The 15,404-nt window shown below is 40.7% G+C and overlaps 1 pseudogene, besides 1 other annotated feature; it reads left to right on the forward strand.

Moving 5' to 3' along the window:
* Positions 13,420-13,927: an enhancer, noted in NCBI's record as "H3K27ac-H3K4me1 hESC enhancer chr9:103493207-103493714 (GRCh37/hg19 assembly coordinates)". NCBI's record gives its function as "activates a minimal SCP1, AML or CMV promoter by ChIP-STARR-seq in naive H9 embryonic stem cells {active_cell/tissue: H9 hESC(naive)}" and the evidence as "EXISTENCE:reporter gene assay evidence [ECO:0000049][PMID:30033119]".
* Positions 13,695-14,857, forward strand: ACTG1P19 (actin gamma 1 pseudogene 19; annotated as a pseudogene).

Consider the following 15,404-nt stretch of genomic DNA (forward strand, 5'->3'; position numbering starts at 1 on the left):
TATTTTTAATCTTTCACTCTTTAAGTAAACTGGGCTGTACATTTATTTTGAGAAGTGAAAAAAAATTTGCTCATTGGCATTGGCATCCAGCTAAAATCAAGTTCAGTAATGCCCCAGGCTATTCAAAGCTTTTGTGCCTGTGACCTATTTGTGGGAAGATAATGTATTAATAATTGTAATGTTATAGCAGCCTCCTGATAATATATTCCAATATTTTATTGGTTTGCTATCTCTGAAAGGACTGGGAACCCCCTGAATAATTCCACTGAGGCGGGATAATCTTAGAAAGTCTCTGAACAGCAGTGAGTCAGCCAGAATAAGCCTGTCTGGCACAATCCACAGGGATCCCCTCAAGAGAGAAAACAAAGTCAAAAGTAGCAGAAACAACTGAGTGGAAGAAGTGAAACCAGTGGAAGATTTAGCCAATTTCCATGGCAGATTTAAGTCACTGGTTTAATGTTGGTCGAAGAGGTGTTCTTGGAGTTGCCTGCATTACGTTGCTTCTCATTTCGATGCTTAGTTTATGAAACATTTATGTGTCTTTTCATGTATTGTTAGTTTCCTCCCCTTTTACTCCCTGGAATGAGAGTCACAAGAGAGGCTACAGAAGAGGTAGTAGCCCCTTCATATCTGATGCAGACATGCAAGTTTTCAGTCCCTTACTGTAAGTTATGCCTTTATGCTACTTGCTTTCAATCCTGGCAATGCCACCATAGATTCTGCTGCAATTGGTCTTGGCTGGGTCGGGGAATAGTGCTTTTTAAGAGCAGCACTGGTGATTCTAATATGTAGCCAATGTTGAGAACCATGCCCTCCATCTTTTTGGCTTGTTTGCTTTGAAAGACAGAAGAGCAAAATTAGGGGAATATTTGCAGTGTAAGGTCTATCTATATTCCTCCAGGACACACATGCCCCTCTCTATCCCCTATCCTTAACTAGGCACATTCATGAAGCAAAAATTCCCTGTACCTCATCATGGCCACGGGCATGAGGGAATGATGCTGGATCATGACCTTAAAGGAACCATGCAGCTCTATGGGCATGAAGAAGCCATGCAGTATGATGGCCATGAGGGAACCATGAGGCTCCATGGGCATGAGGAACCATGCAGCTCCATGGCCATAAGGGAATCATGCAGCTACAGGGCCATGAGGAGCCATGCAGCTTCATGTGCATGAGGTAGTATGCAGCTCCAAGGGCATGAGGAAACCATGCAACAATATGGGCATGGGGGAACCATGCAGCCTCTTGAGCTTGAGAAAATCATGTGGCACCATGTGCATGAGGAAACTGGGTAGCTCCATGTGCCTGAGGAAACTATGCAGCTCTGTGGGCATAAGAGAACCACGACGCTACATGTGCATGAAGGAACCATGCAGCTCCATAGCCATGAGGAAACAATGTGGCACCACGACCATGAGGAAACCACGTGGCTCCATGGGCATGAGGGAACCATGCGGCTCCATGGGCATGAGGGAACCATGCAGCTCCATGGGCATGAGGACACCATGTAGTATCATGGGCATGAGGGAACCATGCAGCTATGTGTCCATAAGAGAACTATGCAGCTTCATAGGCATGAGGAAATTATGCAGCTCCATGGGGATGTGGAAACCATGCAGCTCTATGTCCATGAGAAAACCATGAAGCTCCATGGGCATAAGGAAACCAAGCAGCACCACGTACATCAGGAACCATGGAGCATCATGACAATGAGGAATCCATGCAGCTCCATGGTCATGAGGGGACCATGGGGCACCATGGTTATGAGGAAACTATGCAGCACCATGGGCTGAGGAAACCAGGCAACTCCATGGGCATAAGGAAATCATAGCTCCATGGCTATAAGAACAGCAAGCAGCTGCATGGCTAGAAGGAAATAATGCAGTACCATGATAGTTGATTACTGTTCACAACTTTTAGTACATCTGGTAGTCTGAGCCTTTAGATACTGCATATCCATTTCCTAGTTGAATTAACTTTTATTTCATGTCTTTTAAACTGGGTTCTTGCCTTTTGACTGGATTGGTAAGTTACTGGACCATCTAAGCCTTTTTCCTTATCAGAAACAGTGTCTTTCTTCCTCTGTATTGTGAAATGAGTGCAAATAGCCTGAATGTATTAGTCCGTTTTCACACTGCTGTAAAGAACTACCTAAGACTGGGTAATTTATAAAAAGAAGAGGTTTAATTGACTCCCAGTTCTGCATGGCTGGGGAGGCCTCAGGAAACTTACAATCATGGTGGAAAGTGAAGGGGAAGCAAGTCGTATCTTACATGACATCGGGAGAGAGAGTGAAAGAGTGAGGAAGTGCCACAGTTTAAAACCATCAGCTCTTATGAGAACTCATTCACTATCTTGAGAGCAGCATGGGGAAGATGGCTTCCATGATCTAATCACCTCCCAACCTCAACATGTGGGGATGACAATTCGAGATGAAATTTGGGTGGAGATACAGAGCCAAACCATATCACTGTGCTTGCAGAAATAGCTTGAAAATCTCTTCTATTCTCATCAACATACCTCTGAGGGCATGATTTCTTTTTTTACGTTCTCATAGTAGAAAGAACTGCAACGTAGACTAGATAAGTTAACAGGGAATAGCCAGTTCGTTGGTATCATTAAAGGGTTTAAATATTGACGTACACAGTGGCTTAAACAGTGCATACAGGTTTTTAATATGGAGAATATCTATTTCATAAGAACTAATGAGATGATGTATGTGACGGTACCCAGCACAGTTCATGGAATTGAATGGGTGCTCAATGTGTCTGTGTTTCTTAATTTATTAACTCCTGTGCCAAGACACTTGATGAGGGCTTCCAGCACAAGATGCTGGGAGTCCTTGACCATGTCAGTGATAAGAGTATGACCCATTTCACTGATAGTGGGTTACAATATTTTCTTTTATTTTCTAAGTAACTGAGAATACGGAGGTCTTATCAGCAGGAAGTTCAGAGTTTGTTCTTATCTTTGCTCACTCATGTAGGTAGTAAAATTATTTAAACATATTTTTCTATTTATTAACAAATATTAAAAAGTATCTACTTCCATCAGTGGATGAATGGCTACACAAAATGTGGCCCATACAAACAATGGAATACTATTCATTCTTAAAAATGAAGACAATTCTGATACATGCTACAACGCAGATGAACCTTGAAAACATGATGCCAAGAGAAGTAAGTCAGATGCAAAAGGACAGATAATGTATGATTCCACTTATGTGAGGTATGATAATAGGCAAATTCACAGAGACAGAAAGAACAGTGGTTACCAGGCATTGAGTGGAGCAGAAGAAGAGGAGTTATAGGGAGTACAGAGTTTCTGTTTGGGATGATGAAAAAGTTCTGGAAATGTATAATGTTGATGGTTACACAACATTGTGAATGTACTTAATACCATTGGATTGCATGCTTGAAATGGCAAATTTTATGTTAGGCATATTTTATCACCACCACTACCCCATATTTTATCACCACCACTACCCCCCCCCACCAACACACACACACACACGTAACTACTGAGTATATGCTGGAGGAGAGTAGTGGCTTTCTGGAATATAAACAAAAGCCTTATCTGTAGCATTGGCTGATTTCCATGGTGTAAATTCTTCCTCTGAGGCAGATTTCAAGCTATCAACACAATGACTCTGAACTTGGAGTTGGCAATAGAAGAGCAACATTGGCTCTTCTGAGTCAGTAGGAGCTGACTTCAGCCCACTTCTGACTGGAAAATGAGAAATTTGGTATAACTTGACTTTTTCACTGCTTTCCCCACTTGCCACTTTTTGTTGTACATTGGCAGTTTGAATTAAGGTTAGAAAATTATTATTTTTATGTTAAGTAATATAATGATAATTTGAAACTTGTATTAAATTTTAATGTGTATGTTAACTTTGGAGACTACATTTTACTGATCACTAGCTTTTCTTTTTCTTTTTCTTTTTTTCTTTTTTTTTGAGACAGGACCTCACGCTGGCACCCAGGCTGGAGTGCAGTTGTGTGATCACGGCTCACTGCAGCCTTGACCTCTCAGTCTGAAGCGATTCTCCCACCTCAGCCTCCTGAGTAGCTGGGAGTACAGGTGTGAGCCACCACACCCAGCTAATTTTTATTTTTTTGGAGAAATGGGTTCTCACTATGTTTCCCAGGCTGATAACTTCTGGGTTCAAGCAATCCTCCTACTTTGGACTCTGAAAGTGCTGGGATTACAGGTATGAGCCACCATATGCAGCCCCAACTTGTTTCAGAGGGGTGCATTTGTCCCAGTTCTTCAGGTTTCCCCTTATTTGATTTGCTTTAGTGCTTTACATGTTTAGTGATTTTTTTTCCTGTTTACTCATCTTACAGAGTGACATCAATTTCTCTATTGGTAGTTGAAATGGGTCTGATGGGAGGAATGTGGATTTTTGTTTATTTCAGGCACATAGGAAGAAGAAAGAGAAAAGGAAAAGGTTAGGTTGCCAGGAGACTTTGACTTACCAATTAGTCTAGAGATCTAGCATGCTAGTGGGTAAAGGCTGGGAAGTAGAATCAGAATTTACTTCCATATTTCTTGAGGCAATCAGACTTCAACAAGGGCAATGCTACTTTTCCTGGTGTGGCAGGGTTGTTCTTAAAATGGGCTAGTGATGGCAGTGCTCCTATACTTGGTCAGCATGGCAACATGAGCTGATTTCTTAGGTACATTTGTCCAACACATGAGAGAAGTCATGGGAACAGCCCGCTCTTCTCCTATCTAATTGCCTTTGCATAATGGTTTGAAATACCTCGATGTTTCTTGGTTGAAGATGTCACCCATTATTCTTACCTAAAATTTTGCTTTTACCTTTTAAATTGGCACTGGGAATGGGACATGACAAGATTTCTTTATCTGGAAATCTAAAAAAGAAGATCATAAACTAAATGTTTGGGGTCAGAGGTGGCAGTTCCATGCTGCTGAGAGCCTGATGTCTGTTTCTTACCAGCGCTGGCTTCTCCAACAGGTCAGTGCTTGCTCTTTCTGTGTGGATCCTGTGTGGGGCTGTGTGGATCCTACTGTTGCATCAGCATAACCGATACCATTTACTTCATTCATTTGGGGTACAAATATGATCCCGTCACCTTAATATTGTCAAATTAATTGTTTAAAACCCAAGGTATCCTGGTAGGAAGATATCCAGTGGTTGCCTTAAGACCTTTACCCCTACTTAAAAATTCCCAAGAACTCCAAAGCTTTACTCTGTCCAAATTTAGGGGAGGATTATTTCTCCTTCTATTAATAATACCATAATTAGAGGGAAGTGGGAACCCTGATCACTGCTTCATATTAGCTCATGTCACTGCTGTTGAAACTGGGTCCCATAGATGATTCCCTTTGCAATATGTTGAATGTTCAAGTTCCTGTGCAGACCACTGTGGAATCTCAAAGTTGAGCTCGAGATCATTATTCCCATAGTCCATTCTTAAACATGTCCTAACAACACTGTGCTAGGATGACTGAGTCCCAAGAGGCTTCTAGTATCAGTATGCATTGTGCTGTTACCAGGCCTCCTGACTCCCAAGTCTCAGGCCTGTTGAGCCCCGGTCACTAGCCTAGATTATACCTTTCCACAGTTAATTTTATTCCAGAGGCCTTGCCTTTCTTTACTCTGGGCCTTCTTCTGGGCCACCCTCGTCTACCCTCATGGTTCTCCCATGAGGGAACAGGGTTTGCAGGATCAGATCCTTCTCTCCTGCAATATACAATATGCAGATTGGTCCACTTTCTTCAGCAGACATGGACTCTGCTTGCCAGTGGATATTGTGTTGGGTCTGACGTGGCAAGGCACAAATATTCCTATTGTAATCTTCTGCCAGAGAAAAAGTCCATGCTCATTCTTCAAAAGAGAGAACACTCAAGTGATTCTTTGAAGAAAAAATATCTTGTTCAAGGTACTACTCTGCCCTTACCTATGTTGAAAAGCAGCTGGCAGAGACTGTTAATACAAAGGCAGATGTAACTCCTTTTGTGGTATTGTTTCATCTTTACGTTTATTCTGTGGTACGAGAGAGCATGGCTAATGTGGGCATATGGAGTCACAGTATTAGAAAAGGCAAACAGGTAAGTGGTAGAGTCAGAATTTGATTCCATCTCCCTGACTCTGAGGCCAGTGTCTATTCTGTCAATTGACAGTTATTATTGGGTACTTGCTGGTGCCAGACACGGCACTTGGTAGGTGCTGGGGATACAAGGAGAAGACATGGTTCTAGAGAGGAAGTTAAACTACAAGAAAGAAAATGTAAAGGTGTGAACAGGGCACTAAGAGCACATGAGAGAGGGCACTTGAGCGGGGGTTTCCTGGAGAAGGAGATGTCCAAGCTGAGTCTTGAAGGAAAAATTGGGTAAGGCGAGTAGGCTCTTTATAGTGAGATAAACAGCAAGTGCTGACTGCAGAGCTTTCTGGTTACCATAATGTACTTTGTTATTGGGATAGAGAGCAGCTGCTGTGTAAAGGCTTTCTAAGTGTTTCTTTCTTCTTTCTTTTTTTTTTTTAAAAACACAGCTTTATTGAAGTGTAACTGATACCCAGAAAGCTGCACATATTTGATGTATACAATTTAATAAGTTTGTACATATGCATACACCTGTGAAACTATTACCACCGTCAAGATAATAAACATATCCATGCCCCTTTTTTTCATGGTAAGAATACTTAACATGAGACCTACCCTCTTAACAAAATTAGGCGCACAATACAGTATTGTTAACTATAGGCACCATGCTGTACATCTGCATAACTCTAGGACACATTCATCTTGCATGACTGAAGCTCTATACCCATTGAACAACAACTCCTCCTTTTTTCCCCCTCTTCCATCCGCCAAAAGCCACCATTCTACTTTCTGCTTTTATGAGTTTGACTATTTTAGATGCCTCATATAAATGGAATCATACAGTATTTCTTTATAAGGGCATATTTATACCTACTGGAAACCAGTTTGTTGCAACTAATTACCATTTGAACTTATGGGACACATTGGTTTGTGTAAAACTAAAACAATTCTGAACCCATTATTGCCTGGTTTTCATTTCCATTCTTTAAGTCCCATATAATCAAAGTTATAGTTATTCTAACATATTTTTGAGCAATGTTTGTAAATGGACTGATGTTAGTTGAGTACATGCCACGTGTTAGGTTCTTTATATCAATGTTCTCATGATGTGTGTATTATTACCTTTGTTATAGACAGGAAAACTGAGGCTCAGACAGATTAAATATGCTGAAGGTCGCACAACTAAGTGTATCAGCTGGAGCAATAAGTGTGTCAGCTGGAATACAAACTCAGACCGGGCTGCTCATTCTAAGGCAATACCCAGAGCTCTCACTACCATCCTCTGTGTTGCTGGAAGTCTGAGTTGCTGACAGAGAACCCTATTAATTACATGTGAGTGAAAATAGACTGAGGGGCATTAAGCAGGTGTGACCATAAAAACTGCTTCTGTTTCCATGGATTTAATTATCTCCCACTATTGGCTTGAATTGGTTGTGAATGCACTGATAGAAGGTAATCAAAGAGCTGAATGAACCTGGCAGTTGTAAACGGAAGCACAGGGTCCCCGTCAGGCCAGTACAGAAGTGAATGCATCCGTTGTTTTTAATAGGCCAAATATTTCTCTCTTGTTCCCTAGGAGGCAATTGGAAGAGACATGCTGATAGCTCCCCTTGGGACATTAACCGGAATCATATTTGTAAAGTGAAGCTTAAGTTGGTCATTTTATTCCCAGTTTCACAGAAATAGGAGGCGAATGGCAGTGGGAGCAAAGACACAATTTCTAGTTCCTCAAAGATCACAAATTCTATTAGTGCAATATTTTCACACAGTTATATAAAATGTTCACTTTCGATAAATCTCTATTTTCTGGTGGTTTTAAAGGCAAATCTTTTCTACTGTAATGATTGTTTGAATGACCAATGTGGACATTTCTCCTTGCCTAGATTTCTGATTCCTCAGCAATATAATCCCATGATCCACATTTAGTTTGTACTTTCTAGGTGATCAACACAGCTGCTCTGTCTGTGGGATGTGGATAGCCTCGTGAACTTCTGACCCCTATGTTTTGAATGCCTTATGGTCATGACTTAATTTTGAAGATAACATTTGGTGAGTCAAAGGAAAAGAGTGAACTCTCCCATATGTTCCTTTAATACTACTTCCCAAGGTTAAGAAAGAGAAATTGAAATATGCTAAGTCAGAAAAGAAATTCATGGCAATGGGAACCAGTTTGGGATACGGCTATTCTGAAGGTTCAGAGATGTACTTATTTCCTGGAAGATCACGTTGCAACTGTCAGTTAACCTATAAGGATCCCTATCAATAGAGGAGAGGAGAGAAGAGGAACAAGATAGGTTTTTAGTGCCTCGGTGCATTATGCTATTCTCATCAACCATCACATTATGAATTTAATGAAGTTACTCAGATAACTATAAGTCAGATTAGAGTTCAGTGTGTTTTCGATTGAATTATCCAGTTTGATTATTGACATGTACAATATTTAATTAAATTTATTACCACTAATACAGTATAAATGAAAATCTGGCTAGATTTTCAAAGCCATAGTTTTACCTAGGAATATGAATAATAACTGGATGTGGCAGTTCTCAAAAAGAAAGAAACTTTTTTTCACAGATATCTCATTCTATGTCATAACAACATATATGACTGTTTAACTGGGTAACCATTTGTTTATAAAGCTATTTTCATGTTCCTAGCACTGCTAGAGTTTGGGATTCCTGTAATGAGTAAGATAATCCCTTGCTTTCAAAAAACTCACAGTCCTTTTTATTGAAGGCTTGAATTATTTATCTTTAGTAAATCGAAATGTGTTTTAAGTGTGCTCACCCAGTCCATGAATTAAAGTTCTGGTTAATTATTTTGTAAAGAAAGGATTACTTTTGCCATAAGAAGAGCACTGTAAGTTTACTCTTTTTGTATCCTGTTTCTTAATGTGGGGCTTTATAGCTAGTGTAGCTGCTTCTTAAAACAGGTGTTTCAAACAACGGAAGGGAGAGCCAGGTTTGTTGGGCCTTGGGTCTTCTGGCCACTTATTTCCCACTTTTCCCCTACTCAACCCTCTGCTTTTGTGACATTTCTTGCATTGAGCTCATTCTCCCCTTCTTTGATAATTTGCTTGTTATGTCCCCTTCACCCAGAGTTTCTTCTTTTCTTTGATAATATGAACTTTTCATTGTTTTTTAAAGCTTAGCTTAACTTTTCTTCCTCCTTAAAGCTTTCCCTACCCTCACCCAGAACTCTCTTTTTATTCATTAAATTCTAGGAGCAATGTCAGGGCAATTAGCACTTGGTCAGTTTCTAGTGTTTCAATAACATTAATAACAACAAACAGCAGTTTTCACTAAGTGCTTACTGAGTACCAATGTTATAACCACCGGACATGCATGTACTATTATTATCTTTATTTTATAGATAAGAACATTGCAATCCAGAGGACTTTAGTAGCTTAATAAAGGCCCCACAGCTGGCAAGTAGTGGATCTGGGTAAACCCAGACCATTAGATCCTAGAGCCTGAGCTATTATCCACTGGCATTTCTGAATGTGTGGTCTTCTGACCATGTACATTAGAATCACCAACATGGATACTGTTAAAAATGCAGATTACTGGCCTGGCGCAGTGGCTCTCATCTGTAATCCCAGCACTTTGGGAGGCTGAGATGGGTAGATCATGAGGTCAGCAGTTGGAGACCAGCCTGGCCAACATAGTGCAACCCCATCTTTTCTAAAAATACAAAAAATTAGCCAGGTGTGGTGGCTGGTGCCTGTAATCCCAGTTACTTGGGAGGCTGAGGCAGAAGAAACGCTTGAACTCGGGAGACAGAGGTTGCAGTGAGCCAAGATCGCGCCATTGCACTCCAGCCCGGGAGACAGTGCGAGACTGTCTCAAAAAAAAACCCCAAAAAAACCAAAAAACAAAAAAAACAAAACAAAAAAAAATGCAGATTACTGAACCCACCCAGATCTACTGTCTTAGAATCTATGGATCTAGATGCAGAGCCTGGGAATCTGCATCTTTAACAAGCTTCCCGGGTAACTCTTACAAACTATATTTTGAGAATCATTGCATATACTTTGCTGACTTTTCATTAATATATTTACCTTCCTAATCTGACTGTAAACTTCTTGAGGTCAGAGATTATGCTATCTACATACAACCTTCTAAATCCCCAAGTCTGCAATAGACATTTAGACATTGACTACAAGCTTAATCAATACTTGCTTTTTTTCTGATATAGGCAGCAAAATTAAATATTTTCATACAACTGTTGGAAAGATTCATATGATGGGACTTCTCATGAAAGCATCTGGTAATAGCCAAAGGCCCCGTAGTTAGGACCAACCTCATGAATGCTTCTTCTCATTCTGATACTGACTTAGTACATCTTCATTTCCTGCCTCAGTTTGCCTGCCTTTGAAGTTGGGGACATTTTAATAATAAAGAAACGGAGGTATTGGTGGGAGCTAGTAATGGTAATTAGAATATAGAATTTAAAAAGTGATAAGACTAACATCTCATTTAGACATTTAAGATATAAATGAAATTAGCTTATTATTGAAGTTAGATCATACATGGTCCATTTCTAATTCACTGTGACAAGACTTTCACATCAGTTCAATTAGGTAGATGTTGAGGGGTCACACAAAAGCTTTTCTGTACCCTCTGATGGCTGTTGACAATTGCTGAGTTAGCTAGTAGTGGCCTTGCATTAGTCTGTGATAACAGGATACTCACACCTTCCAGTCCAGCCTCCTAGTTTCAGATGATCTATATAATTTCCTCAGGTCAAGCCAGAATTTTAACCCTGATCTTAATATTCCAAATTCATTGTTTCCCACAGCCGCATCCTATTTCCTCTGCATGGCATGCTACTAAACATATGAGTCAAAAAGCAGCTTAGGTCGTGTGGGAATAAGGCTGGTAACAGAAAAGAAAAGACTTATTTTGTACTCCCCTGACCTTTTTTTTTGGCTAACCAATTTCTTATGCGGCATCAGCTCCTGAAGGACTGCTGACAGCATATTAGCCATTTACATTTTATCCATTTATAATCAGAATCATGGCAATCCAAATGTTTACTTTTAATATGAATACCAACCGTATCACTAGGCAATTGTTATCATTAAACCCTAGCAATTGGCTAATGTCCAACGAATAATTTAAACTGTGGAACCTTGTGGGTTACTGTCCTGCCTGTGTGTTATTAATTCTTATCAACATTTTGTTTAAAGAAACAGTTTTGGAAGGAACAATAAGCAAAAAATAAAAGTATCACCTACCTATCACACACTACTGAGGATGGAAAACATCTAATATTTATTTGGAGATCCGATGGACTGGGGATGAGTTGTCAACAGAAACAGCACCTGTGAATGTGCCCTTTGTCTTTCTAGAAAAGTCATTTGTTAGGAATTTATTTATTAAATAAATTTTATTGTGTATATTGTGTTTATTTATAAATTATATTATATATTTTATATGTAGTATGTGTATATATATAGTAGTAAGATGATTACTATAATGGAATGAATTAACATATCCATCATCCCTCACATAGTTACCCATTTTTCCCCTCTGTGGCAAGAGCCTCTATAATTTACACATTTAGCAAAAATCCTAAATACCATACATTATTATTAACCATAATCTCCATGTTGTACATGGATCTTTTAGGGCTTTGCCATGACATATTACCTGTCTATTACCTGCCTGTAAATAGGTTTTTAGATTTCCCTGACAGGAGAAGGTTAAACATTGTAAACATTGTAAAAATGTTTAACCTTCCCCTCAAACATTGTAAAAAACATGCCATTAGATAATTTCTTAAGGAAATACTCCAAAAAGCTTCTCTTCTCCTAAGAGACATCTTAGGATGAGTTAGTCAGTGTAAATGGGGGGTTGAAGCACATCCAAATGAAAGATGAATTCTGCTGCCTCATTCTTTTAATGGCCTCCTGCCCAAAATAAAACTAGCCAGCAAGCGGTATTTATCTTAGCGATGCTGCCATTTCATATTACAAAGTGACCATGCAGTCTCATGAACATAGTCCAAAAGTGCTGACTTTCAAAGGCAGTTGAATTTTTTTTTTACTTGTTACTGTTTTATAGCTTTGCATAAAATGCTAATGCAATGACATTTGTAGAACTATTAAATCATTTTAATGAAAGAGTAACAGTTATACAACTAATTCATTTTAGTGCATTTCACTTGCAGAATCCTTTAGTAGTTGATTGTAATGGGAAGAAGCAATTTTTTTTTGTAGCTCCATAATTTTGTTCTCATGTGGAACCAAATCTCATTATTTTGGTGTAGTTTATATCCAAGTCTAATGGAGCAAATCCATTGACAGAATTTGTTGTCCCAAATCTGGGCCCATTTGCCTGATGGCCCCCACTTAATGTGATCTATAGTCTAGCCAAGCCAAGTCTGCTTCTCTGGAAAAATATGGCTTTCTGTTTTCCTTTTAAGTGTTTAGGGGTAAATATACAGTCATGCATTTTCAGCTACTGAAAAATGAGCTCAATCGCCATAACACCAAATCAAGGAAAACATTTGGGCTTTAAAAATTATCTTTGATCATATAACAAGACAGCTGGGATTGATTATTATCCCGGTCCCACATTTCCTCATTAATGGCCATCCCACTCGGTATATGCTGTCATGCCAGGACCTCTGTGGAAGAGAATGGCTGGAAAGCCTGGAAACATTAAGCCCTGTGAGCAGTGGAAACAGATTTACATTTCTAAACAGATCCTTTGTTAAAGATCACCAGTGCATAGATCTGCAGCTTTCTTCTAGAGTAAAATCATTCTCTGTTTCTCTATTCCTGGCCCCCATGTTTTCAGACAAAGCTTCCATTAATAGATAACTCTTTCTTAAACAAAAATTTCTTTTAAGGAATTGCATTCCCTGATGTCCTCAAATGCTTAGGTTACCCAGAGAGTTGACTTCATTGTCAACATATTTTTACCCCCTTACAAACATATGTATTCCCTTTAACATTTTTCTCCTTACAAACTGTATTATTCCTCTTAAAATAAGTATATTCTTGTGAAATATGAATTCATTTTGTTTACCCTTACTGCAAATTTTTCTTCTGATTTTCTTCTGAACCAACTAGTCTCATTATTATTCTACCATGAGTTTAAGGATTTTGCTGCTAAAATGTTCATATCTTTTCCTTCACTCAGGCTTCTCTTGAGCATAGATGTAAAATATTGCAAAGATGTGAAAACTAGAATGTTTTCCCTCCAGGTGAACTGATTATCAAACTTAGTGTCCTGAACAACAGCACTCTTCTGCATTTTATCTAGCTTTGATCATTTTAGAACATAGATTTCTTCTAAAACAATGCCTGTACAGTATCATTCCAAATATATAACAGTGAAATTAATGCCTTTTTCATTCACACGGTATTATCGACCGGAAGAAGCACATCCATTTAGATTCTCACTAGCAGCCTAGTTTACTTTATTCCATTATTTACAATGAAAGGGTTAGAATTTCTGTTTGTATTTATGTAGGTGGTACATTAAATGTGTACAATTTTATGAATATTTTTCATCCAGCTCATCAGAATACCAATTTTGTCTGTTAAAATATCGTATATTTCTGGCCAATACCACATCTGACCCGCGAGCACAGAACCCCGCCCTTGCCGCTCTGCCGCCCAGTCCACACCCGCCGCCAGCTCACCATGGATGATGATATCGCCCCACTTGTCATTGACAACGGCTCAGGCATGTGCAAGGCCGGCTTTGCAGGTGATAATGTCCCCCTGGGCCATCTTCCCCCTCCATCGTGGAGCTCCCTAGGCGCCAGGGTGTGATGGTGGGCATGGGTCAGAAGGACTTGTACGTGGGGCGGCAAGGCCCAGAGCAAGAGAGGCATCCTGACCCTGAAGTACCCCATCGAGCACACATCGTCACCACCTGGGATGACATGGAGAAGATCTGGCTCTACAATGAGCTGGGTGTGGCTCCTGAGGAGCACCCGTGCAGCTGACTGAGGCCCCCATGAACCACAAGGCCAACTGCAAGAAGATGACCCAGATCATGTTTGAGACCTTCAACACCCCAGCCATATACGTGGCCATCCAGGCCTTGTGGTCCCTGTACGCCTCTGGCCGTACCACTAGCATCATGATGGACTCCGTGGATGGGGTCACCCACACTGTGCCCATGTACAAGGGGCATGCCCTCCCCCATGCCATCCTGTATCTGGACCTGGCCGGCTGGGACCTGACTGGCTACCTCATGAAGATCCTCACCCAGCGCGGCTACAGCTTCACTACCAGGGCAGAGCAGGAGATTGTGCATGACATCAAGGAAAAGCTGTGCTACGTCGCCCTGGACTTCGAGCAGGAGATGGCCACGGCAGCCTCCAGCTCCTCCCTGGAGAAGATCTAGGAGCTGCCCTACTGCCAGGTCATCACCATCGGCAACGAGTGTTTCCTCTGCCCCAAGGTGCTCTTCCAGCCTTCCTTCCTGGGCATGGAATCCTGTGGCATTCACGAAACTGCCTTCGACTCCATCATGAAATGTGACGTGGACATCCACAAAGACCTGTATGCCAACCCAGTGCTGTCTGACGGTACTACCATGAACCCTGGCAACCCTGACAGGATGCAGAAAGAGATCACTGCCCTGGCGCCCAGCACAATGAAAATCAAGATTATTGCTCCTCCCGAGCTCAAATACTCTGTGTGGATTGGCTCCATCCTGGCCTCGCTGTCCACTTTCCAGCAGATCAGATATGGACCAGCAAGCGGGGGTATGACGAGTCGGCCCCTCCATCCTCCAAATGCTTCTAGGCAGACTGTTAATTGCGTTACACCCTTTCTTGATAAAACCTAACTGGTGCAGAGAACAAGATGAGATTGGCATGGCTTTATTTTTTATTTTATTATTTTATTTTTATTTTTATTTTTTTTGTGGCTTGACTCAGATTTAAAAACTGGAACGGTGAAGGTGACAGCAGTCTGTTTGAGCAAGCATCCTCCAAAGTTCTACAATGTGGCCGAGGACTTTGATTGTACATTGCTCTTGTTCTTTTTTTAATAGTAATTCCAAATAACATGAGATGCATTGTCACAGGAAGCCCCTTGCCCTCCTAAAAGCCACCCCACTTCTCTCTAAGGAGAATGGCCCAGTTCTCTCCTGAGTCCACACAGGGGAGGTGATAGCATTGCTTTCATGTAAATTATGTAATGCAATTTTTTTTTTTTTGAGACAGAGTCTTCTTCTGTCGCCCACGCTGGAGTGCAGTGGCGTGATCTCGGCTCACTGCAAGCTCCGCCTCCTGGGTGCACACCATTCTCCTGCCTCAGCCTCCCGAGTAGCTGGGACTGCAGGCATCCACCACCAC

This window comes from Homo sapiens, chromosome 9 (genome assembly GCF_000001405.40).
Source record: "Homo sapiens chromosome 9, GRCh38.p14 Primary Assembly".
In the NCBI taxonomy this organism is placed as follows: Eukaryota; Metazoa; Chordata; class Mammalia; order Primates; family Hominidae; genus Homo; species Homo sapiens.